The sequence below is a fragment of the Homo sapiens genome, chromosome 7 (assembly GCF_000001405.40).
Source record: "Homo sapiens chromosome 7, GRCh38.p14 Primary Assembly".
NCBI classification, from domain to species: Eukaryota; Metazoa; Chordata; class Mammalia; order Primates; family Hominidae; genus Homo; species Homo sapiens.
Genome location: NC_000007.14, coordinates 100,106,519 through 100,129,642, shown reverse-complemented (window position 1 = coordinate 100,129,642; position 23,124 = coordinate 100,106,519). Strand labels below are relative to the sequence as shown.

The window sequence follows — 23,124 nt, the reverse complement described above, 5'->3', positions numbered from 1 at the left end:
TAACCCCAGCAGTTTGGGAGGCTGAAGGCTGAAGTGGAAGGATCACTTAAGCCCAGGAGTTCCAGGTCACAGTGAGTTTTGATTGCACCACTACACTCCAGCCTGGGTTACAGAGCAAGACTCAGTCAATAATAATAATAATAATAATGTACAGAAAGTGCTTAGAGCAAGTAGAACTGGTCTGCTCTGTGAGCTCTTAGGATCTCACTTCAGGCATCTGTTGCTGTTTCACCCCGCCCTACTCTGTGCCAGAGGTTGTCCAAGGTGCTGGAGGTCCCAAGCATAGGAGAGCCAGGCAGGTGTGGCCCCATCCCATGCCCATGGGAGCAATCCGGCTGCTGAAAGAAAACAGATATTAAATCATCACACTTGGGGAAGGGCACAGTGGCTCATGCCTGTAATCCCAGCAAAAAAAAATGCAGAGGGCCTGAGAAGGTAGGATCTTTTTAGGTCAGGAGTTCAAGACCAGCCTGGGCAACACAGTGAGACCATTTCTGAAAAAAAATGAAAAAAAAAAATTAGCTGATAGCCAGGCATGGTGGTTCATACCTGTAACCTCAGCACTTTGGGAGGCTGAGATGGGCAGATCACTTGAGGCCAGGAGTTTGAGACCAGTGTGGCCAACATGGTAAGACCCTTTCTCTACTAAAAATATAAAAATTAGCTGGACATGGTAGTGTGAGCCTGTAATCCCAGCTGCTGGGAAGGCTGAGGCACAAGAACCAATTGAACCCAGGAGGCAGAGGTTGCAGTGCAGTCTGCAGTACAAGATTGTGCTATTGCATTGCAGCCTGTGGGGACAGAGTGAAACCGTGTTTCAAAAAAAAAAAAAAATTAGTGGGGCATAGTGGCACTTGCCTGTCATCCCAGCTACTTGGGAGGCTGAGGCAGGTGGATGGCTTAAGCTGGAGGCTGCAGTGAGCTATGACTGCACAACTGCACTCTAGCCTGTGTGACAAAAAAATATGAACAAATACATAAGTCAGGTGACTAAGGGGTCATCTTTATGCCCTGTACCTTCTCTCAGCAACCTCCATCCTATAAGAAAGGGGCAATTGGCCAAAGTATGCCTCTGCTGTAGTTGTAGATTACCATGTTTGCACGATTATCATTGTCAATGCTTCACATTTACACTAGGGCACTATGATTTTCAATGCAGTTTCCATTTTTATTTTGGAGGCCCCTCCCACGAACCTTCTCCCATTTTACTGAGGCCCAGGGAGAATGCACAGGGAGCTGAGCCCCTCCTTTGATCTTAGTTTGGTGGCAGAGACAGGCAGTGATACTGACGATGTGATGGCAGTGTCAGGTGCACTCTGTCTTCACTAGAAAACTGGCCTCCTGGAAGGGCTGGAAGCTCCCACCCTTGACTGCTCTGACTCTGTCTCCAGCAGCTCTTCGCTGTTAGGGCTTCCCTGACAAGAGTGCAGTCCCTCTCGAGGCTGATTAGTGCAGGGCGGGCTCCTCGTCTCCGACCACCGGCTCCTGCTGGCTGTTCCCTCCACCCTCCGTCTCGGGCTGCGAGGCTTCCCTTAACACTCGAAAGGGGGGCCCGTGACCAGGTACGACCACGTCGGCAACGACCAGGACCCTCTTCCGGCTCCGCTCCTGGGCTGCGGGGTCTTCACTCAGTGCCTGCCACGAATCCTCGTCCCCATCTCGCTCAAACACATCTCCCGCCACCACCACGGTGCCCAGAGCCGTGCCGGCCACCACCACGCTCACGTCGCGCTGGCCCCCGTGGCCCGGCGTGGCCCACACCTCGAGCCCCGGGCCCAGGCGCAGGGGCTGCCCCTCACCCAGCCCGTGGGGCAGGTAGCGGCCTCCGGGAAGGCAGAAGTCGTGCGAGACCAGCAGAGCCGCGCCTGGGAACAGCCCCAAGTTCCCGATGTGATCCGAGTGCCCGTGGGTCCCCACCACTAGCGTCACGTCTCCCGGGGCCACGCCCTGCCCCGCCAGCGCCCCCAGCAGCGCCTCCCGAGCCCAGGGGCCCCCGGTGTCCACCAGGATGGGGCCACGGGCCGCCTCCTCCAGGGCGGCCTCTGCGCCGCCACTCCCGCGCGGGGACTCTCGGTGGCTGGAGGCCGGGCCCCGGGTCTGGGGTAGGACCAGGGTCACGGAGCCGTCGGCGCGCACGGCATCGCCCACACCCTCTGGCTCCGCGTAGCCCTGCAGCAGAACCACCACAGAGTAGGGGTCGCCGGGCACCAGCAGAGGGGATGCCCCGCACAGCGGCTCGGTCCGCATGAGGCTGCTCCTGGCAGGGAGGGACGGGCTGGGGAGAAAGGAAATGGAGCAGTGGGCGACCGTCCTGTCCCTCCGCGATCCCCCACCCGCGCTCGGCCCCGCCACTGCCCCTAAGCCTCGGTTCTCTGCCACCCGCCTCCCATTAAGTTGGTATCACCCTCAACCCCTGCCCAAAATGGTATCGCCCAGACTCCCTTCACACTTGGGCCCGCCCCTCCCTCGGCGTCCTCGGCCCCCGCCCCATTCCGTTCGCGGTACGTACGTCCTTGCCCGTCACCCTCCAAAGGCTATCCTTTATGTTTCCCTCCATCGAATCCTAGCCGCGCTCTACCTTGGGCCTCTGCTAGGTCTTGCCTCACTCGAAGAAAGCGCAGAAATCGAAAACGCGGGTGAGAGTTTGTCCTCTGCGGTTCCCGTGTACCCAGATATGGCGGCCGAAGCGGCGCCGCGGAGGTAGCTGTAGTTCCGGCGCCTTCACCGTGTGCCCGAGGAGGCTGCCTGGCTGGGCTCCAGCCTCCTGGCGGTTCTCCGCTCCGCAACCCCAGCAACTTCTTTGCACTGCAGAATTTTGAAGCGCCATTAGCTTTGAGGAGGGTTCATGCTCAGTTGCCCAGGCAGGAGTGCAGTGGCGCGATCATACCTCACTGCAGCCTCAACCTCCTGGGCTCATGTGATCCTCCCGCCTCAGCGTCCCGAGTATCTGGGACCACAGATGCGCACCACCAAGCCCAGCTAAGGTTTCTATTTTTTCTTTCTCTTTTTTTTTGGAGACACGGTCTAGTTCTGTTGCCAGGACTGGTCTGGAACTCCTGGGCTCCAGCGATCCTCCAGTCTTGGTCTCCTGAAGTGCTAGGATTACAGGTGTGAGCCACCGCGCCTGGTCTTTTTTTCTTTTGAGACAGTCTCGCCCTGTCGCCCAGGCTAGAGTGCAGGGGCACCATCATAGCTCGCCCCAGTCTTGAACCCCTGGTTCTAGCGATCCTCCTGCTTCAGCCTCCTGGAGTGCTGGGAATACAGGCGTGCACGCCCCTCTAAATTTTTTTTGGTTTTTTTTGAGACGGAGTCTTGTTCTGTCGCCCAGGCTAGAGTGCAGTGGCGTGATCTCAGCTCACTGCAACCTCCGCCTCCTGGGTTCAAGCGATTCTCCTGTCTCAGCCTCCCGAGTAACTGGGATTACAGGCGCCCACCACCATGCGTGGCTTTTTTTTTTGAGACGGAGTCTCGCTCTATCACCCAGGCTGGAGTGCAGTGGCACGATCTTGGCTCACTGCCAGCTCCGCCTCCCGGGTTCCCGCCATTCTTCTGCCTCAGCCTCCCGAGTAGCTGGGACTGCAGGCGCCTGCCACCACACCCGGCTAATTTTTTGTATTTTTAGTAGAGACGGGCTTTCACCGTATTAGCCAGGATGGTCTCGATCTCCTAATCTTGTTATCCACCCGCCTTGGCCTCCCAAAGTGCTGGGATTACAGGCGTGAGTCACCGCGCCCAGCCGCCCGGCTAATTTTTGTATTTTTGGTAGAGACGAGGTTTCTCCATGTTGGCCAGGCTGCTCTCGAACTCCTACACTCAGGTGATCCGCCTGCCTCGGCCTCCCAAAGTGCTAGGATTACAGGTGTGAGTCACTGCGCCCAGCCTCCAGGCTGGTCTTGACCTTTTGGACTCAAGTGATCCTCCCATCTCCACCTCTGCAGTAACTGGGACTACAGGCGCTGCACCACCAGCCCTGCAGTCTTCTTTGTGTGTGTGTGTGTGTGTAGAATTGGGGTTTCACTATGTTGCTCAGGCTGGAGCTTGAGCTTAACAAGACAGCGGCCATTCTGGGTGCTGCCTCATCGACCAGCTAGCTATGTGTGCCCGGCTGTTGTTTGAAACTTTGGGCCCAGCTAGTTTTTAGAAAAAAAGAAAAAAGTTTAATAGCGATATAGAAAATTGAGCACCTATAAAACTATATGGTGGGCTCTGGGTTACATTGAGCTTAAGTAGACCAAGTATCTATCCCACCTAAATTATCAGCAACTCCAGGCCATGACCCAGTGTCCCATTCTCCTTCACGGTTTGCTGGTGTGTAGCCTCCTGGATACAGGCAATGTATATAGATCGCAGAGAATGTCCGTTCTGGCCTCTTCCTTGGAAGGGTCTAAAAACAGACCTTAAGGAGCTAAGTGACTTCCCCAAAGCCCACAGCTCCAGTGCCACTGCTGACTTTTGGGTGGGGGTGGGATCAGTTAAAGAGGAAAGCTTTCAGTACTGTCAGCACATACACCTGCCAATTAAGGGGCTGGATAGAGTTCATCTCTAGGAGCAGGACCTCCACCCCCACCCTCCACCCCAGAAGCCATGTCATGCTGTTTCACCAGGATCTTGCCTGAGGTTAGATGGGAGAGAACAGCTACAAGCTTGGGTGGAGTCACTCATAAACACACCCTGAAAGCTGTGGAGCAGGGAGAGTGCAGGCTTTAGAGGGCTCTCCATGATCCCTTCCCCTCCTGGGGGCTCAAAGGCAAGGGTCAAAGATCTTCTCGGTCAAGTTTGGGGTGGCTTCCTGTCTTGGTCATCTTGTCTCCCCCTTCCTCTTCCTCCTCTTCCTCCTCCTCCTCCTGCTCTTCCTCCCCTTCTGTTTTCTCTTCCCCATCTGTGATCTCCTTTCCAGTCCAAGTTTCCTGTAGACATGCTAGATCGGATGACAGAAAACAATTTAGATATTAGTCCTGGAGGCAGGGGAGGCTATGGCTTGGCAGGAGAGGAGTTCAACCCTTACGCTTACCAGTTTCAGCAGCTGGGAGCACATGACCTTCACAGAGAAAATTTTGTAGGGGCTGCTCCTGATGGTGGAAGTACCAGTCTCCCACAATGTCTTCAAACTCCTCCAACATGGTCTCACACTGGTCAAGTAGAAGGGCCAGAAGAGTATCTGCTCTGGAGGGATTTGGGATCCCGCCTGTCTTCTCTCCCTGCTCAACCTGACTGATTTTGGAGAGGCAGGTAGCCAGGAAGCTAAGTTTGGCCTACTAGATGTGCAATCCTCATTCATTCAACAAACATTTACCAGCACCTATTCTGCCAAGTAGATTATTAAACTCTTGAGTCTCAGCTCCTTGCCTGTAAAATATGTATGGTAATTGCACCTACCACATCAGGCTGTTAAGGGTAAAATGAGGCTACAGATGCAAAGTATCTGGTCCAGAGTCTGGGACACAGTAGGTGCTCAATAAGTGATGGTGGATATCATTAGCAACCATTGTTACTTTTTTTTTTTTTTGAGATGGAGTCTCGCTCTGTCACCCAGGCTGGACTGCAGTGGTGGGATCTCAGCTCACTGCAACCTCCGCCTCCCGGGTTCAAGTGATTCTCCTGCCTCAGCTTCCTGAGTAGCTGGGACTACAGATGCATGCCACCACACCACCACGCCCGGCTAATTCTTGTATTTTTAGTAGAGACAGGGTTTCACTATGATGGCCCGGCTGGTCTTGAACCCCTGATGTCGTGATCCGCCTGTCTCGCCCTCCCAAAGTGCTGGGATTACATACGTGAGCCATCGCACCTGGCCCATTATTACTTTTTAAAAATTTTCCTTAAGGCAGGGCCCAATGGCTCATGCCTGTAATCCCAGCACTTTGGGAGGCCAAGGCGGGTGGATCACCTGAGGTCAGGAGTTCGACCAGCCTGGCCAACATGATGAAACCCCGTCTCTACTAAAATTACAAAAAATTAGCTGGGCGTGGTGGCAGGGGCCTGTAATCCCAGCTACTCGGGAGGCTGAAGCAGGAGAATGGCTTGAACCCGGGAGGCGGAGGTCGCGGTGAGCCGAGATGGTGCCGGTGCACTCCAGCCTGGGCAATAAGAGTGAAACTCCGTCTTGAAAAAAAAAATTCTTTAAAATTATTATTATTTGTAGAGAAGGGGGTCTCTTATGTTGCACAAGCTGGTCTCTAACTCTGGTCTCAAACAGTCCTTCTCCCTCAGACTCACTAAGTGCTAGCATTACAGTTGTGAGCCACTCCACCCGGCTCATTATGATTTCTTTTTTTTTGTTTTTGTTTTTGTTTTTTTTTTTAAGATGGAGTCTTGCTCTGTCGCCCTGGCTGGAGTGCAATGGTGCGATCTTGGCTCATGGCAACCTCCACCTCCTGGATTCAAGCAATTCTCTTGCCTCAGCCTCCCAAGTAGCTGGGATCACAGGCGTGCACCACCACGCCCAGCTAACTTTTGTGTTTTTATTAAAGACGGGGTTTTGCCTTGTTGGCCAGGCTGGTCTCGAACTTATGACCTCAGGTGATCCACCTGCCTCAGCCTCCCAAATTGCTGGGATTACAGGTGTGAGCCACCGCACCCCACCGCTCCTGGACCCACTTTAATCAATGGCACAGTCCTCACTCTGGCCCCTTCCCCATGCTTAGGGGTAGACATCCCCTATAGTCAAACCCTAGAACCTAGCTCCCCTCTCAGGTTCCCTTCTCACCTCCCTGGATGGTGCAGTGTCTTATCCTACCTGCTTCTTGAGGTATGTGACCTCCACGCTGGGCTCATCCCAAAGCTCCAGAGGGATCCCCAGATCCACCTTCACCCCCTTCTGCACTAGGCCTTTCAGTGTTGCCATGGTCTGACTCTGACCCTGAGAGATTAAGAATTTGGCATCAGCCCAGCTCACCACCCCACCCCTCCCTTCCCCTTTCTGCCATTTCAGTTTTGTCAACTACTGGAGATTCAAGGGTGAGTTCCATGATGGTGAGATGATGGGCAGATAACCTCTGGAGGGCCTCAGGGGATACAGATCTTTGTATCTGAGAAGTGGGGTCCTGCCCTGGGGAAGGGTCTGACCTTGGCATATCTCAGTGAGCCCTTGCGCTCAGCGTGAACACTATAGTCCAGGATCCGCTCACATAAATTCTCTAAGGCCTCTTCCAGCCTTGTCTCTCTGTGGAAAGAGAGGAAACAAAGATTCCCTGGATGCTGTAGGAACTCCCAGGGCTCCGTTGGGGGTTGGAAAGGGGAGGAGCACGAAGGACTCACGAAACGCTGTAAGGCACGTGTCTCTTCCTCTTGCCTGTATCCAGCACCTGCCCCAGCTCCAGCACCTCTCGAGATCGACCGGTGCGACTCAGTTCCGCCTGTAGCTCTGTGCTCAGCAGCTTACACACTGGTGGGGAGGAGAAACGTCCGGGGGGAGGTAAAAGACAAACACACCAGCCATTCATTCTGCAGATGACCTGAGGCAGCAGAGCATACAAGTGCAGACTATGGAGCCAGACTGGCTGGGTTGGAATCCTGGCTCAGCCATTTAGCAGCTGTGTGGCAATCTTCCTGCTTGCTGTGCCTCGGTTTCTTCATCTTTTTTTTTTTTTTTTTCAGACGGACTCTCGCTCTGTCGCCCAGGCTGTAGTGCAGTGGCGCAGTCTCGGCTCACTGCCAGCTCCGCCTCCTGGGTTCACGCCATTCTCCTGCCTCAGTCTCCCGAGTAGCTGGGACTACAGGCACCCACCACCACGCCCGGCTAATTTTTTGTATTTTTAGTAGAGACAGGGTTTCACCGTGTTAGCCAGGATGGTCTCGATCAGCTGACCTTGTGATCCGCCCGCCTTGGCCTCCCAAAGTACTGGGATTACAGGCGTGAGCCACCACGCCCGGCCGGTTTCTTCATCTTTATAATGGGATAATAGGCCAGGAGTGGTGGCTCACACCTGTAATCCCAGCACTTTGGGAGGCTGAGGCGGGCAGATCACTTGAGGAGTTCAAGACCAGCCTGGCCCACATGGTGAAACCCCATCTCTATTAAAAATACAAAAACTAGCCAGGTGTGGTGGTGCGCACCTGTAATAGCTACTCGGGAAGCTGAGGCAGGAGAATCACTCGAACCCAGGAGGTGGAGGTTGCAGTGAGCTGAGATCCCACCACTGCACCCCAGCCCAGGCAACAAAGGGAGACTCCATCTTAAAAAAAGTAAAATACATTAAAAATAAATAGGCCAGCACAGTGACTCATGCCTGTAATCCCAACACTTTGGGAGGCTGAGGTGGGTGGATCACGAGGTCAAGAGATTGAGACCATCCTGGCCAACATAGTGAAACCTTGTCTCTACTAAAAATACAAAAATTAGCTGGGCATGGTGGCGGGCGCCTGTAATCCCAGCTACTTGGGAGGCTGAGGCAGGAGAATCGCTTGAACCCGGGAGGCGGAGGTTGCAGTGAGCGAGATTGCACCACTGCACTCCAGCCTGGGCAACGGCATGAGACGCTGTCTGAAAAGAGAAAAAAAAAAAAAAAAAAAAAAAAAAAAAAAAAATATATATATATATATATATATATATAAAATTAATACAATTGGATAATAATAGTATGTCCCTCATAGGAGTGTGATGAAGATTAAATAAATCAACATATATAAAGGCTGGCACATAGTGAGCACTGTATAAGTATTCACTGTTATCCTGCAGTTATTTATTGAGCTCCTTCTGTATGCATACTAACAATATAGACAGCAATAAGACCTATTATCTCTATCTACAGGTCTCTGTCAGTGTAGTTGGGACAGATAAACCAAGGATGACAAGCTGTGGTGAAGCTGGGCCTGAACTCATGGGCTCAAGTGATCCTCCCACCTTGGCCTTCCAAAGTGCTGGGATTACAGATGTGAGCCACTGTGCCCAGGCCCGTTGGCTGTATTCTGATAGAAGGCCTGCAGAGGTGTTAAAGCAAGGACTGATACAATTAGGTGATTAAGTCTGTTTAAAAAGATTGACAGGTCAGGGGAGAAGAGCGGCACACGGAGGTGAAAGGAGACAGAGATGAGGACCAAGTCATGAGACTGTCATGACTGCCTTTCATGATACTGGAATACAGTTGAGGGGGTGAAGCGAAGAGAAAAGGAATCCAGGGAAGAAACGTAAAGTCAGGAGGGCAGCAAACTAGGGCATCAGGGCCAGCCCCCTTTCTCAACTGGGCCCCACGCTAGTGCAGCTATGGAAGGCGCTGCTTGCTGAAAAATCCATATAGTACGCACCGTCTGCAAAGTCTCACCGGATGGGGACACTCTCCTAGTTGTGTGGCTTCCTTTTGTTTATGAGCTTCAAAGGCTGAATTACTCACCCTCAAACCCCCTCAGCGGGGTGTGGGGCCTGTAATTTGGGAGCGTCTATGCTAGGGTAGGGCAGCGGATGTCCACAAGGCCTGAGCCTCACACCCGGCTCCTGCAGCCTCTGCAGATTAAGGTCTGGTGACATGAGGTAAACACTCACTGAAGATGCTCTAAAAGTTGGCAGTCCCGGGCCGATGGTCCCTGAACTACAATTCCCACAATCCATTGGCGGGCGGGGGGTTCCAAGCCAGCCAAAAAAATGCAGGCTCTCTCTGGATGCAGTTTGAGGTGGCACTACACGTTCGCTTCCTTGACCCCATCCAAATTCAGCCAAGCTCCACCAGAACCTCCCTCAAGCCTTCAAGGAGGTCGGGTGACCCACCCAATACAGGCTAGGATGTCCGGCCTAGAAGAAGGAGGTGTGGCCGGGCGATGCCTATAGGGGCTACCCCCTTCAAATACCTTCGCATTTGCTGGGCAAGCGTTCTGTGTCATCGTCCTCCTCCTTCAACATCCCAGCCCAAGCCTCGTGCACGGCCAAAAAAAGGAAAAGCAATATTCCCAACCGCACAGGTCCCATGACAAAGCGCCGTCTACAAACAATCACCGCTTGCCTTCAACTTCGGGAAGGTAGTGTGGGTCCCTTAAATTCCCAGGCGGCTAGCGGCAACCTTAAATCCAGCCGAGGAAGGTCGGCGCATGCGCAGGATCAGCCCAACAAGGGTGGGGCCTCGTTGCTACGGGTTTCCCTGCCTCCGTTTTGTGGCGCCTCTTGAAGGTCCTGGCAGCCGGGTAGTGAAGGAATAAATTGCAGTAATTACACCAAGAGGGAGTGCTCCTTATATATAGATGTAGAAACAAACTTTTAAAATATAATTTCATTCTGCGAGCCTAGAGGACTTATTCTGGTACGGGGAAGGGGCAGTGACTTGCTCTTAGGCTCTGCCAGGACCTGCTCCCACGAGGGGGCGGGGCCAAGATGGCGCCGAGCGCCGGGTGAGCAGCGTCTCGGCTGCCGCTAGAGTTTTCCTGCTCCCCGCGCTCGGGTGGCGGGGGCGGGTCTGAGTGGTACCCCGGAGGAGACCCTTTGAAGGTCCCTTGTGGGGACTGGAAAGAGGACGGTTGGTTGTGTGTCTGTGCTCGTGGGGACCCCGTGTGTGTGCCTGCATTGGAGAGATGTTGCAGGAGATGGGGTGGGCTCTCTGAACCTCCTTTCGCGCTGCCCGGGGATCTTCGACCTGCTTCTCTGCTGGGATCTCGCTTAAGTTAACCCTTCCCTGGGACGCCTTCCTGCCGCCTCCACTGATCTGAGGAGATCCTGTGACTGTAGCGTGTTTTATGAGCCTTTACTGGCAGAGGGTACCGCCGGGTATTGAAGGATTCGTAGGAGTTCGCCAGGGAAGTGGGACACGACCCCCTCTTGTAAACCCGGCGCCAGGCACAGAGTATGTCTCGAATAGTTGTGTTCCCTATAGATAAGACTTATAAAAGTCGGGGAGGAGATCAGGGATGGTTTGAAAAGAACCAATTTGTTTTTCGGCCTCCCTCTTCCCATCCTTCCAGCACGGCCCCACCCTACCTGTACTACTCCTAAGCAGTATTGATATGTTAATCTTCCTAATGTCCAACTGCAAGTGTGCCACTTTAATTTTTTTTTGTTTTTTTTTTGAGACAGGGTTTCCGTCTGTTACCCAGGCTGTTGTGCAGTGGCACCATCTTGGCTCACTGCAGCCTCCAACTCCTCAGTTCAAGCGATCCTCCTGCCTCAGCCTCCTAAGTAGCTGGGATGACAGGTTCACACCACCAGGTCCGTCTAATTTTTTAATTTTTGCAGAAATGGGGGTCTCACTATGTTGACCAGGCTGTCTCAAACTCCTGGCCTCAAACAATCCCCCCACCTCTGCCTTCCAAAGTGCTGGGATTACTGGGGTGAGTTACCTCTCTTGGCTCCAATTTGCTTTTTTTTTTTTTTTGAGATGGAGTCTCTCTCTATCGCCCAGGCTGGAGTGCAGTGGCACGATCTCGGTTCACTGCAACCTCCGCTTCCTGGTTCAAGCGGTTCTCCCACCTCAGCCTCCCAGATAGCTGGGACTACAGGCGCCCGCCACCATGTCTGGTTAATTTTTGTGTTTTTACAAAAAGACAGGGTTTCACCATGTTGGCCAGGGTGGTCTCGAACTCCTAACCTCAGGTGATCTTCCCGCCTTGGCCTCCCAAATTACAGGCGTGAGCCACTGCACCTGGCTCCACTTTGCTTTTTTTGTTTTTTTTTTTTTTTTGAGACAGAGTCTGGCTCTGTTGCCCAGGCTGGAGTGCAGTGGTGCGATCTCGGCTCACTGCAAGCTCCGCCTCCCGGGCTCACGCCATTCTCCTGCCTCAGCAGCCTCCCGAGTAGCAGGGACTATAGGTGCCTGCCACCATGCCTGGCTAATTTTTTCTATTTTTTAGTAGAGACGAGGTTTCACCTTGTTAGCCAGGATGGTCTCAATCTCCTGACCTAGTGATCCGCCCGCCTCGGCCTCCCAAAGTGCTGGGATTACAGGCGTGAGCCACCACGGCCGGCCCAGTTTGCTTTTAACTACAGTGTAGGCTCAAAGCTTGGGCCTATGACCTATTAATAATAGTGATACCAAGTATTTACTGAGCACCAATATCTCTAAGCCTTACAACTAATTCATTTACTTCACAAATATTTATGATGTCCCAGGCTGGGCTCCTGGAATACATCAGTGAACATAATAAAGAGCTCTGTCGGCCGGGCACAGTGGCTCACGCCTGTAATCCCAGCACTTTGGGAGGCCAGGGTGGGTGGAACACCTGAGGTCAGGAGTTCAAGACCAGCCTGAGCAACATGGTGAAACCCCATCTCTACTAAAAATACAAAAATTAGCCAGGTGTGGTGGCGCATGCCTGTAATCCCAGCTACGCAGGAGGCTGAGACAGGAGAATTGCTTGAATCTGGGAGGCGGAGGTTGCAGTGAGCCAAGATCGCGCCATTGCTCTCCAGCCTGGACAACAAGAGTGAAACTCTAGCTCAAAAAAAAAAAAAAAAAAAAAGAGCCCTGTCTAGATGGTGGACGGAGACGGGGTCTCACTCTGTTGCCAGGCTGGAGTGCAGTGGCACAACCTCTACTCACTGCAACCTCCACCTCCTGGGTTCAAGCAATTCTCCTGCCTCAGCCTCCCGAGTATCTGGGACTACAGGTGCACATCACCACGCCCAGCTAATTTTTGTATTTTTAGTAGAGATGGGGTTTAACCATGTTGGCCAGGATGGTCTCGATCTCTTGACCTCGTGATCTGCCCACCTCGGCCTCCCAAAGTGTTGGGATTACAGGCGTGAGCCACTGCGCCATGCCCAAAAGATGTTAAATGCTATGGAAAAGAAAAAGTGGGCTGCCCCCACTCTGAGGGCAGAGTGCAGAGTTAAATAGGGTGGTCAGGGTAGGCAGCCAATTAGATATTTGGGAAGAACATTCCAGGCAGAGGGAATGCAGCAAAGGCTATTAAGCAAGTACATACCTGGCAAGTTTAAGGAGCAGCCAGAAGGAATGTATGTGTCTGGATCAAAGTGGAAGAAGGAAGGGCGTTCAGAGATATAATGGGGAGAAGGTAATTTTGAAGGGCTTTGTAGGACATTATAAGGATTTCGTCTGTTTTTTTTGTTGTTGTTGTTGTTGTTTTTGAGAAGAAGTCTTGCTTTGTTGCCCAGGCTGGAGTGCAATGACACAGATCTTTGCTCACTGCAACCTCCGCCTCCCGGGTTCGAGTGATTCTTCTGCCTCAGCCTCCCGAGTAGCTGTGATTACAGGTGCCCGCCACCATGCCCATCTAATTTTTTTATTTTTAGTAGAGATAGGGTTTCACCATGTTGGCCAGGCTGGTCTTGAACTCCTGCCCTCAAGTGATCCGCCCACCTTCGTCTCCCAAAGTGCTAGGATTACAGGCGTGAGCCACTGTGCCTGGCCTGAGATGGGGTTTTGCTATGTTGCCCAGGGTGGTCAGGAATTCCTAAGCCCAAGCAGTCTTCCCACCTCACCCTCCCAAAGTGCACAGATTACAGGCATGAGCTGAGCCACTGCACCTGCCCATTATAAGGATTTCAGGTTTTACTTTATGGCAAGTGGAGAGCCATTATGAGGGTTTGAGCAAAGAAATGACAATCTGCTTTACAGTTTGACAGAAGCATTTTGGCTGCAACGTTAGGAATAGATGTAGAGAAAGGCAAGGGTAGACTCCGGTTGACATTGTTAGGAGGTTTTTGGAGTTACCCAGTGGATAGATGATGGTGACCTGGGCCAAGCAGTGGGAGCAGAGGAGTCAGGTTGGACTACCTGGTGGATTGATTGATTTTTGAGACAGAGTCTCGCTCTGTCGCCAGGCTGGAGTCCAGTGGCACGATCTTGGCTCACTGCAACCTCCACTTCCCAGGTTCAAGTGATTCTCTTGCCTCAGCCTCCCGAGTAGCTGGGACTACAGGTGCGTGCCACCACGCCAAGCTAGTTTTTGTATTTTTAGTAGAGATGGGATTTCACCATGTTGGCCAGGATGGTCTCCATCTCTTGACCTGGTGATCCGTCCGCCTCGGCCTCCCAAAGTGCTGGGATTACAGGTGTGAGCCAACGCGCCCGACCGGATTTATTTTTTTACCTTTTTTTTTTTTTTGAGACAGAGTCCATCTGTCACTGAGGCTGGAGTGCAATGGCGCAATCTCAACTCACTGCAAACTCTACTGCCGAGGCTCAAGTGATTCTCCTGCCTCAGCCTCCCAAGTAGCTGGGATTACAGGCACGCGCCACCATGCCCAGCTAATTTTTGTATTTTTAGTAGAGAAAGGGTTTTACCATGTTGCTCAGGCTGGTCTCGAACTCCTGACCTGAAGTGATCCACCCACCTTGGCCTCCCAAATTGCTGGAATTACAGACGTGAGCCACCGCACCTGGCCTACCTGGTGGATTTGATGTGAAGGCTCAGATAAAGAACAAGTGTCTGGATGGATGGCATTGCTATGAAGATAAGGAAAGCTGAGCCTGGGCCAGACACTTCGGCTCACGCCTTTAATTCCAACACTTTGAGAGGCCAACGCTGGAGGATTGCTTGAGCCCAAAACTTCAAAGTGGTGGGATTGAAGCCCTGAGGTGTAACAGAAAAAGATAAAAATCTGGGCTGGGCCTGGTGGCTCAGGCCTGTAATTCCAACACTTTGGGAGGCCGAAGCAGGAGGACTGCGTGAGCCCAGCAGTTCAAGACCAGCCTGGACAACATAGTGAGACTCTGTCTCTGCCCCTGCCCCTGCAAAAAATTGGCTGTGTGTAGTGGTACACACCTATAGTCCCAGCTACTTGGGAGGCTGAGGTGTGAGGATTGCTTGAGCCTAGGAGCTCCTGGGCTCTATCAGTTTTCCCACCTCTGCCTCCTGAGTAGCTAGAACAACAGCCCTGTGCCTGCATACCCAGCTAATTTTTGTATTTTTTGTACAGATGGGGTCTCACTGTGTTGTCCAGGCTGGTCGTGAACTGCTGGGCTCAAGCGATCCTCCTACCTTGGGCTCCCAGAGTGTTGGAATTACAGGCATGAGCCACTAGGCCCAGTCCAGATTTTTTTTTTTTTTTTCCTGAGACGGAGTCACCCTGGCTGGAGTGCAGTGGCGTGATCTCGGCTCACTGCAACCTCTGCCCTCTGGTTTCAAGTGATTCTCGTGCCTTAGTCTCCCTAGTAGCTGGGATTACAGGTGTGCACTACCACGCCCTGCTAATTTTTGTATTTTTAGTAGAGATGGGGTTTCTCCATGTTGGCCAGGCTGGTCTCGAATTCCTGACCTCAAGTGATCCGCCCGCCTCGTCCTCCCAAAGTGCTGGTGGGATTACAGGCGTGAGCCACTGAACCTGGCCCCAGCCCAGATTTGTATCTTTCTCTGTTACACCTCAGGGCTGACTCACGTGGGGATGGACATAAGACACTCGGAGTTCCTCCCCTGTCTCCACTGTCCTCCCTTTGTTGGCCCTCTCCCTGTGTCTCACGTTTCTTTTTCTTCTGCCTGCCCCGTTCCTCTGCCAGGGTCTCCGTCTCTCCACCGGGGGCTTCATCCTTCCAGGGAGGAGAAGAGGGACTCCAGAATGGCTGAGGAGAAGAAGCTGAAGCTTAGCAACACTGTGCTGCCCTCGGAGTCCATGAAGGTGGTGGCTGAATCCATGGGCATCGCCCAGATTCAGGAGGAGACCTGCCAGCTGCTAACGGATGAGGTCAGCTACCGCATCAAAGAGATCGCACAGGTGACCCGGCCCTTCTGTCCAGCTCTACATTGGGTCCATGTCACCCAGGGCCCCGTCCTTAGGATTTTGGGCTGATGTCTGTTCTGTCACCGACCCCAGGATGCCTTGAAGTTCATGCACATGGGGAAGCGGCAGAAGCTCACCACCAGTGACATTGACTACGCCTTGAAGCTAAAGAATGTCGAGGTGATTTGGGGAGACAGGCGGGGGGGGGGTGAGACGCCATCCTTCAGCCAGGTCTCCTCCGGCTCCCTTCTTACCCATGCCCCTCTCTCCTGCCACAGCCACTCTATGGCTTCCACGCCCAGGAGTTCATTCCTTTCCGCTTCGCCTCTGGTGGGGGCCGGGAGCTTTACTTCTATGAGGAGAAGGAGGTTGATCTGAGCGACATCATCAATACCCCTCTGCCCCGGGTGCCCCTGGACGTCTGCCTCAAAGGTTGGGGGAGGGGAGAGCAGGGTGGCAGGGAGGAGGGAAAGGAGGACAGATGTGTGTAGGTGTGAGGAGCCTCACAATAGAAGAAAAGCTCAGTGTGAGATCCCTGGTGAGTTGCAAGGGGAGCAGGAGTGGAAACACGCTTCCATAGCATGGGGCAACTCCCCAATGTCCATGCGTGGCAATTCACCTTGACACCTGCCTTCCTTGCAGCTCATTGGCTGAGCATCGAGGGCTGCCAGCCAGCTATCCCCGAGAACCCGCCCCCAGGTAACCTCCATGCCCCACCCTCTGGGTCTCTGGGTCCCTTTCCCCTTCCTTCCACCTTTTTTTTTTGAGACAGAGTCTCACTCTGTTGCCTGTGCTGGAGTGCAGGAGTGCTGGAGTGCAGTGGCTCAATCTTGGCTCACTGCAAACCTGTGCCTCCTGGGTTCACGCGATTCTTGTGTCTCAGCCTCCTGAGTAGCTGGGACTACAAGCACACACCACCACGCCCGGCTAATTTTTTGTAATTTTAGTAGACACGAGGTTTCACCATGTTGGCCAGGCTGGTCTCGAACTTCTGACCTGAGGTGATCCACCCGCCTTGGCCTCCCAAAGTGCTGGGATTACAGGCATGAGCCACCGCATCCGGCCTCCTCCCACCTTTTACTTTTCTACTATGCTCATCACCCCTCCCGCTGTGCCTGCTTTCCCACCAGCTCCCAAAGAGCAACAGAAGGCTGAAGCCACAGAACCCCTGAAGTCAGCCAAGCCAGGCCAGGAGGAAGACGGACCCCTGAAGGGCAAAGGTCAAGGGGCCACCACAGCCGACGGCAAAGGTCAGTCCTCCTAGGCTAGGCCTCTCTGGACTCTTGCCCAAAGCCACATGGCCGTTTGTTTTGTTTCCTTTTTTTTTGTTTTTGAGACAGAGTCTCACTCTGTCACCCAGGCTGGAGTGTAGTGGTACGATCTCAGCTCACTGCAACCTCCACCTCCAGGGTTCAAGCGATTCTCCTGCCTCAGCCTCCTGAGTAGCTGGGCTTACAGGTGCCCACCACCACGCCCGGCTAATTTTTGTAATTTTTTTTAGTAGAGACAGGGTTTTGCTATGTTGGCCAGGCTGGTTTCAAACTCAGCCTCATGTGATCCGCCCGCCTTGGCCTCCCAAAGTGCTGGGATTACAGGTGTGAGCCACCATGCCAGGCCTCCATGTGGCCATTGGTGAAGTGGCTGAGGTCAGGGCCAGAGCCCCAGAAAGGATGGGGGAGCCTAAGAAGAAGCCAGGTCTCCTGGGTCTCAGGGGAAGTGGAGGGTTAAGGTTCTTCTGTTACTGAGGTTTCTTCTGGAGCTTTCTTTGTCAGACCCACCTTTCCAATCACACAGGGAAAGAGAAGAAGGCGCCGCCCTTGCTGGAGGGGGCCCCCTTGCGACTGAAGCCCCGGAGCATCCACGAGTTGTCTGTGGAGCAGCAGCTCTACTACAAGGAGATCACCGAGGCCTGCGTGGGCTCCTGCGAGGCCAAGAGGGCGGTGAGGGCCCCACCAGCTTGCCCTGGCCCTGAGACGCCTCCTCCTGGGGGCCCTATGAATTGCTCCCCACATCCCACCCCCACCTGACTGGCTTCCCTCCTCCCACAGGAAGCCCTGCAAAGCATTGCCACGGACCCTGGACTGTATCAGATGCTGCCACGGTTCAGTACCTTTATCTCGGAGGGGGTGAGAGCATGAGGTTCCACAGTGCAGGGACGGCAGTGGAAGCTCCTGTGAGGGTCTCCCTGCCCCATGCCCAGCACTTCTCCCTCCCACAGGTCCGTGTGAACGTGGTTCAGAACAACCTGGCCCTACTCATCTACCTGATGCGTATGGTGAAAGCGCTGATGGACAACCCCACGCTCTATCTAGAAAAATACGTGAGTGATCCTGCCCATCCTCCCTTCCAGGGACTAGGGACCCTGCTGCCACCAACAGGAAGTCAGTGGTCAGCAGTGGCTCACACCTGAAATCCCAGCAACTTTGGGAGGCCGAAGTGGGAGGATTGCTTGAGCTCAGGAGTTTGAGGACAGCCTGAGGACAGTAGTGAGACTGCTATCTCTACAAAAAAAATTAACCAAAACAAAATTAGCCAGGCATGGTGGTGCACACCTGTGGCCCCAGCTACCTGGGAGGCTGAGATGGGAGAATTGCTTGAGCCCGGGAGATTGATGCTGCAGTTAGCCATGATTGTGTCCCTGCACACCAGCCTGGGTGACAGAGCAAGACTTTATCTCAAGCAGACAAACAAAACCAGAATCAGCTGTCCCGCCCTTTCTCCCTTAGGTCCATGAGCTGATTCCAGCTGTGATGACCTGCATCGTGAGCAGACAGTTGTGCCTGCGACCAGATGTGGACAATCACTGGGCACTCCGAGACTTTGCTGCCCGCCTGGTGGCCCAGATCTGCAAGCATTTTAGCACAACCACTAACAACATCCAGTCCCGGATCACCAAGACCTTCACCAAGGTGAGCCAGGAAAACTTGAGCGTCATTTGCTTCATCACTGGCCACCTCTGGTTGGGGGAAGTCACACTGGAAACAAGGGGGCAGAGGGAAGAGGGACTGGAACTTGTGGGGGTCTAAGGGTCTTGAGGCTTGTCTGTAATACCTTTTTTTTTTTTTTTTGAGATGGAGTCTCGCTCTTGCCCAGGCTGGAGTGCAGTGGTGCAATCTCTGCTGACCGCACCCTCTGCCTCCTGGGTTCAAGCGATTCTTCTCCCTCAGACTCTTGAGTACTTGGGATTACAGGCACCTGCCACCACAACTGGCTAATTTTTTTGTTTTTGTTTTTTTGAGATGGAGTTTCGCTCTTCTTGCCCAGGCTGGAGTGCAATGGTGCAATCTTGGCTTACCACAACCTCCGCCTCCTGGGTTCCAATGATTCTCCTGCCTCAGCCTCCCGAGTAGCTGGGATTACAGGCATGTGCCGCCACACCCAGCTAATTTTGTGTTTTTAGTAGAGACGGGGTTTCTCCATGTTGGTCAGGCTGCTCTAGAACTCCCGACCTCAGGTGATCTGCCTGCCTTGGCCTCCCAAAGTGCTGGGATTACGGGTATGAGCCACTGCACCTGGCCACAACTGGCTAATTTTTGTATTTTTAGTAGAGACAGAGTTTCACCATGTTGACTAGGGTGGTCTGGAACTCCTGACCTCAGGTGATCTGCCTGCCTCGGCCTCCCAAAGTGCTGGGATTACAGGTGTGAGCCACCACGTCTGGCCTCATTGTAATGTCTTAATGATTTACAAGGAAAGTGTCTATGAAAGACTTAGGTCCCTGTCAATCATCCTTTCAGACCCCTTCATCTTAGTTTATTTCCTTCCCCTTACAGAGCTGGGTGGACGAGAAGACGCCCTGGACGACTCGTTATGGCTCCATCGCAGGCTTGGCTGAGCTGGGACACGATGTTAGGCCTCTGGGAGGAAGAAATGGGGGAGGGGACACAGTCATGAGGTTATAGAGGGCACTGTACCCCCATCTGGGAGACCCTGGTGACCCTCCGGCTTTTGCTTGTCCTTTTCCCTTCTAACAGGTTATCAAGACTCTGATTCTGCCCCGGCTGCAGCAGGAAGGGGAGCGGATCCGCAGTGTGCTGGACGGCCCTGTGCTGAGCAACATTGACCGGATTGGAGCAGACCATGTGCAGAGCCTCCTGCTGGTGACTGAAGCCCCTGTCCCCACACCTGCCCACTGAGACACAGGCAGTGTTTAGCAAGCATATGGCATATTTTATTCACTTACTCCCATCTTTGCCTCATGTTTTCAGAGGACATTGCAGAGTCTGATACTATTTTACAGATGGAAAGACTGAGATTAGACTGAGTAAGAAATAAGGGGGCTGGGCATGATGGCTTCTGCCTGTAATCCCAGCACTCTGGGAGCCTAGGAGTATGAGGCCAGCCTGGACAACGTAGCGAGATCCCACCTGCAAAAAAAAAAACCAAAAAGCCGGGAGTGGTGACGTGTCTGTGGTCCCAGCTACTAGGGAGGCCGAGGTGGGAGGATTGCTTGAACCCAGGAGTTCAAGGCTACAGAGAGCTATGATCGTGCCACTGCACTCCAGCCTGGGTTACAGAGGGAGACCACCGCCCCCCAAAAAAGAAGGGTTTAACACGCTCAGCCTGTGGCATTTGGACCATCCTTCCCCAATGCTCCTGTTACTCTGTGGTCTTCTCTGTACAAGGCAAATGCGCTCTTGATTAACCATCCTGCCACAGTATTTAGCAAGTTCATTCACACATTAGTGCCCATGTTTTCTTTTTCTTTTCTTTTTTTTTTTTTGAGATGGAGTCTCACTCTGTAACCCAGGCTGGAGTGCAGTGGTGCGATCTCAGGCTCACTGCAACCTCTGCCTCTCAGGTTCAAGCAATTCTCATGCCTCAGCCTCCCAAGTAGCTGGGACCACAGGCACGCGCCACCATGCCTGGCTAATTTTTTGTATTTTTAGTAGAGACGGGGTTTCACCATATTGGCCAGGCTGGTCTTGAGCTCCTGACCTCAGGTGATCTGCCAGCCTCAGCCTCCCAAAGTGCTGGGATTACAGGCATGAACCACCACACCCAGCCATTCTTTTTTTTTTTTTTCTGAGACAGTCTCACTCTGTCACCCAAGCGGGAGTGCACTGATGCAACCTCTGCTCACTGCAGCCTCCACCACCTGGGTTCAAGCATTCTAGTACCTCAACCTCCCCAGTAGCTGGGACTACAGGTGCGTGCCACCATGCCTGGCTAGTTTTTGTATTTTTAGTGGAGATGAGGTTTCTCCATTTTGGCCAGGCTCTTGACCTCAAGTGATCCACCCACCTCAGCCTCCCAAGTGCTGGGATACAGGCCTAAGATGCTGCACCTGGCCCCGTGCCCATCTTTTCTTATGAGAAAGCCCACAGTGTTCTGTACACACACTAATAGTTCAGCATAATTTGGCCTTCAACAGGGGCACTGAGATGATAAGGAATGTCCTTTTTTACCCCATCCCCAAGGTTCTTCTCAAGAGTGTCACCAGCCCTCCCTCTACCTGGCTTTTTTCCCCAGCCCTCCCTCTACCTGGCTTTTTTTCTGTTCTGCAGAAACACTGTGCTCCTGTTCTGGCAAAGCTGCGCCCACCGCCTGACAATCAGGACGCCTATCGGGCAGAATTCGGGTCCCTTGGGCCCCTCCTCTGCTCCCAGGTGGTCAAGGCTCGGGCCCAGGCTGCTCTGCAGGCTCAGCAGGTCAACAGGACCACTCTGACCATCACGCAGGTCCGTGGCCGGGTGGGGAGGAGGAATAGGAGGAAGCAGAGGAGAACCCCTGTGTGGGACAGGCACTTGCACACAGCCACATGTGCCCTCAGTCAGTAGTCTCAGGGCAACCAGGCCCTGAGTGAGGATGCCCCAGCCCTAGTGAGAGCCACTGAGGAAGAGCGAGGGGAGCCCAGGCCTCTCCCTTCAGACTCCTCTTCTTAGTAGATGGTGCCACTTCCCCCTTTCCTCTTCTCCCCGCAGCCCCGGCCCACGCTGACCCTCTCGCAGGCCCCACAGCCTGGCCCTCGCACCCCTGGCTTGCTGAAGGTTCCTGGCTCCATCGCACTTCCTGTCCAGACACTGGTGTCTGCACGAGCGGCTGCCCCACCACAGCCTTCCCCTCCTCCAACCAAGTTTATTGTAATGTCATCGTCCTCCAGCGCCCCATCCACCCAGCAGGTATGCAGAGCTGTGGGACAGGGAGCATCTGGAGGGCCTGGGTTACCTCAGAGCACCCTGGGGAGGCCCAGGAGTAGAGCACAGTCCCCTCTGGGCCCCAAGTCAAGAGCTGGAAGAGGCGCCCACCAGGGTCCTGCAGGGCTGTAGCTGCCCTGCATGAACAAGGTCTCCAGCCATAGCTGTCTACAGGGTGAACTACAGGAACAACTTGTTCAGGCAGGGAGCGAGTGAAGCGTCCTCGCCAGGCCTCTGGGGGGCAGGGAGGGCACAGGGCAAGCGGCCTGCCTTTCCTTTCTATCCAGGTCCTGTCCCTCAGCACCTCGGCCCCCGGCTCAGGTTCCACCACCACTTCGCCCGTCACCACCACCGTCCCCAGCGTGCAGCCCATCGTCAAGTTGGTCTCCACCGCCACCACCGCACCCCCCAGCACTGCTCCCTCTGGTCCTGGGAGTGTCCAGAAGTACATCGTGGTCTCACTTCCCCCAACAGGGGAGGGCAAAGGAGGCCCCACCTCCCATCCTTCTCCAGTTCCTCCCCCGGCATCGTCCCCGTCCCCACTCAGCGGCAGTGCCCTTTGTGGGGGGAAGCAGGAGGCTGGGGACAGTCCCCCTCCAGCTCCAGGGACTCCAAAAGCCAATGGCTCCCAGCCCAACTCCGGCTCCCCTCAGCCTGCTCCGTGATGCTCCACCTGCCAGCCCCCGGATTCCCACACATGCAGACATGTACACACGTGCACGTACACACATGCATGCTCGCTAAGCGGAAGGAAGTTGTAGATTGCTTCCTTCATGTCACTTTCTTTTTAGATATTGTACAGCCAGTTTCTCAGAATAAAAGTTTGGTTTGTAAGTTCTGATCCACTGCAGTCCTTCCTGCATCAGATACCACAGAAAGGCTGGGCCCATTGCCCCCTCCTGGTCTTGGGACTGAGGACTCTTCCTGCCCAGATTCAGAGTCCGAAGGCCAGGAGGCTGGAAAAGAAACGACTGTCCTCCCGTGGGACAAACTGCCACCTTGGCCGTCGTGTCCTCGTTTGGGGAGCCTCAGATCCGAATGACATAGGCGTCGCTGTGGCTTAGGTGTCGCACCCACTTGTGGGGGTTGGCATTGCCGCATGGCCTGAAGGCCAGCCTGAGGAATCGGACCTGGAGGCCAGAGCACGTGTGCCGGGGAAGCTCGAAGGAGAGACTGGCAGGGCCCAGCCCCAGAGGAGAGGCCGAGGTGGAGAGCCCATGGCTGGGAGGTCCTGGGGGCCCTGGGACGTCCATCTGTGAGGGGCAGAGGCAGGGAGAGGAAGGAGGGCAAGAAGCTGACCACGCTGGGGGAACCAGGCAGCAGCTGCTTCGGGAGGGTGGGGTGGGGGCTGCAAGTGAATGTGGGAGGAGAGGGGCTGGGGGTCCACAGCGA

At 54.0% G+C, this 23,124-nt stretch overlaps 4 protein-coding genes across 34 annotated transcripts in view, besides 9 other annotated features; 1 reads left to right on the top strand and 3 right to left on the bottom strand.

Moving 5' to 3' along the window:
* MBLAC1 (metallo-beta-lactamase domain containing 1) lies at positions 1,148 to 2,676 on the bottom strand. Of its 2 annotated transcripts, none has more exons than XM_005250250.4 (2): positions 2,510 to 2,676; positions 1,148 to 2,275 (listed from the first exon to the last, which is right to left on the bottom strand). In XM_005250250.4, exon 2 carries the CDS (start codon positions 2,245 to 2,247, stop codon positions 1,447 to 1,449), a length of 801 nt encoding a protein of 266 aa, XP_005250307.1. In that variant the 5' UTR covers positions 2,248 to 2,275; positions 2,510 to 2,676; the 3' UTR covers positions 1,148 to 1,446. The 2 variants fall into 2 exon arrangements, with proteins under 2 accessions (XP_005250307.1, NP_981942.1); NM_203397.3 differs by having other exon boundaries at positions 2,579 to 2,676.
* Positions 1,767 to 2,246: a silencer, noted in NCBI's record as "silent region_18417". NCBI's record gives its function as "represses an Ori minimal core promoter by ATAC-STARR-seq in GM12878 lymphoblastoid cells {active_cell/tissue: GM12878}" and the evidence as "EXISTENCE:reporter gene assay evidence [ECO:0000049][PMID:35858748]".
* Positions 2,337 to 2,456: a silencer, noted in NCBI's record as "silent region_18416". NCBI's record gives its function as "represses an Ori minimal core promoter by ATAC-STARR-seq in GM12878 lymphoblastoid cells {active_cell/tissue: GM12878}" and the evidence as "EXISTENCE:reporter gene assay evidence [ECO:0000049][PMID:35858748]".
* On the top strand, positions 2,472 to 22,573 carry TAF6 (TATA-box binding protein associated factor 6). Of its 18 annotated transcripts, none has more exons than NM_001365003.1 (16): positions 10,285 to 10,439; positions 10,994 to 11,125; positions 15,375 to 15,559; positions 15,689 to 15,775; positions 15,874 to 16,027; positions 16,238 to 16,294; positions 16,726 to 16,845; positions 17,390 to 17,535; positions 17,644 to 17,721; positions 17,814 to 17,915; positions 18,322 to 18,504; positions 19,369 to 19,443; positions 19,570 to 19,695; positions 21,103 to 21,276; positions 21,520 to 21,717; positions 22,020 to 22,573. In NM_001365003.1, exons 3-16 carry the CDS (start codon positions 15,434 to 15,436, stop codon positions 22,395 to 22,397), a joined length of 2,004 nt encoding a protein of 667 aa, NP_001351932.1. In that variant the 5' UTR covers positions 10,285 to 10,439; positions 10,994 to 11,125; positions 15,375 to 15,433; the 3' UTR covers positions 22,398 to 22,573. The 18 variants fall into 18 exon arrangements, 17 of the variants coding, with proteins under 17 accessions (XP_047276737.1, XP_024302664.1, XP_047276736.1 ...); NM_001365004.1 differs by having other exon boundaries at positions 10,994 to 11,247; positions 15,375 to 15,589; NM_001364998.1 differs by having other exon boundaries at positions 10,285 to 10,763; positions 15,375 to 15,589.
* Positions 2,657 to 2,726: an enhancer, noted in NCBI's record as "active region_26340". NCBI's record gives its function as "activates an Ori minimal core promoter by ATAC-STARR-seq in GM12878 lymphoblastoid cells {active_cell/tissue: GM12878}" and the evidence as "EXISTENCE:reporter gene assay evidence [ECO:0000049][PMID:35858748]".
* Positions 3,437 to 4,106: an enhancer, noted in NCBI's record as "H3K4me1 hESC enhancer chr7:99723160-99723829 (GRCh37/hg19 assembly coordinates)". NCBI's record gives its function as "activates a minimal SCP1, AML or CMV promoter by ChIP-STARR-seq in primed H9 embryonic stem cells {active_cell/tissue: H9 hESC(primed)}" and the evidence as "EXISTENCE:reporter gene assay evidence [ECO:0000049][PMID:30033119]".
* On the bottom strand, positions 4,135 to 10,009 carry CNPY4 (canopy FGF signaling regulator 4). The gene is made up of 6 exons (NM_152755.2): positions 9,781 to 10,009; positions 7,258 to 7,384; positions 7,066 to 7,162; positions 6,737 to 6,859; positions 5,012 to 5,129; positions 4,135 to 4,918 (listed from the first exon to the last, which is right to left on the bottom strand). The coding sequence occupies exons 1-6, from the start codon at positions 9,896 to 9,898 to the stop codon at positions 4,755 to 4,757; spliced, it is 747 nt and encodes a 248-aa protein (NP_689968.1). The 5' UTR covers positions 9,899 to 10,009; the 3' UTR covers positions 4,135 to 4,754.
* Positions 9,313 to 9,382: an enhancer, noted in NCBI's record as "active region_26339". NCBI's record gives its function as "activates an Ori minimal core promoter by ATAC-STARR-seq in GM12878 lymphoblastoid cells {active_cell/tissue: GM12878}" and the evidence as "EXISTENCE:reporter gene assay evidence [ECO:0000049][PMID:35858748]".
* Positions 9,753 to 9,972: an enhancer, noted in NCBI's record as "active region_26338". NCBI's record gives its function as "activates an Ori minimal core promoter by ATAC-STARR-seq in GM12878 lymphoblastoid cells {active_cell/tissue: GM12878}" and the evidence as "EXISTENCE:reporter gene assay evidence [ECO:0000049][PMID:35858748]".
* Positions 10,183 to 10,332: an enhancer, noted in NCBI's record as "active region_26337". NCBI's record gives its function as "activates an Ori minimal core promoter by ATAC-STARR-seq in GM12878 lymphoblastoid cells {active_cell/tissue: GM12878}" and the evidence as "EXISTENCE:reporter gene assay evidence [ECO:0000049][PMID:35858748]".
* Positions 18,790 to 19,017: a silencer, noted in NCBI's record as "fragment chr7:99708249-99708476 (GRCh37/hg19 assembly coordinates)". NCBI's record gives its function as "represses an EF-1alpha promoter that drives an FKBP-Casp9 reporter gene in an ReSE screen in phorbol 12-myristate 13-acetate-treated (for megakaryocytic differentiation) K562 erythroleukemia cells {active_cell/tissue: K562(+PMA)}" and the evidence as "EXISTENCE:reporter gene assay evidence [ECO:0000049][PMID:32094911]".
* AP4M1 (adaptor related protein complex 4 subunit mu 1) overlaps positions 20,604 to 23,124 on the bottom strand; it is an 8,246-nt gene continuing 5,725 nt past the window's right edge. For 10 of the 13 annotated variants that reach the window (NR_199390.1, NM_001438825.1, NM_001438824.1 and 7 more), the window contains one exon: positions 20,604 to 22,985. Coding sequence is in view for 12 of the 13 variants with exons in the window: in NM_001438825.1 (NP_001425754.1) it covers positions 22,761 to 22,985 (225 nt within the window). In the remaining variant the exon portion in view is untranslated. The remainder of the gene's footprint in view (positions 22,986 to 23,124) is intronic. The other 3 variants (NM_001438827.1, NM_001438828.1, NM_001438830.1) reach the window with 1 other exon arrangement.
* Positions 21,796 to 22,296: an enhancer, noted in NCBI's record as "H3K4me1 hESC enhancer chr7:99704970-99705470 (GRCh37/hg19 assembly coordinates)". NCBI's record gives its function as "activates a minimal SCP1, AML or CMV promoter by ChIP-STARR-seq in naive H9 embryonic stem cells {active_cell/tissue: H9 hESC(naive)}" and the evidence as "EXISTENCE:reporter gene assay evidence [ECO:0000049][PMID:30033119]".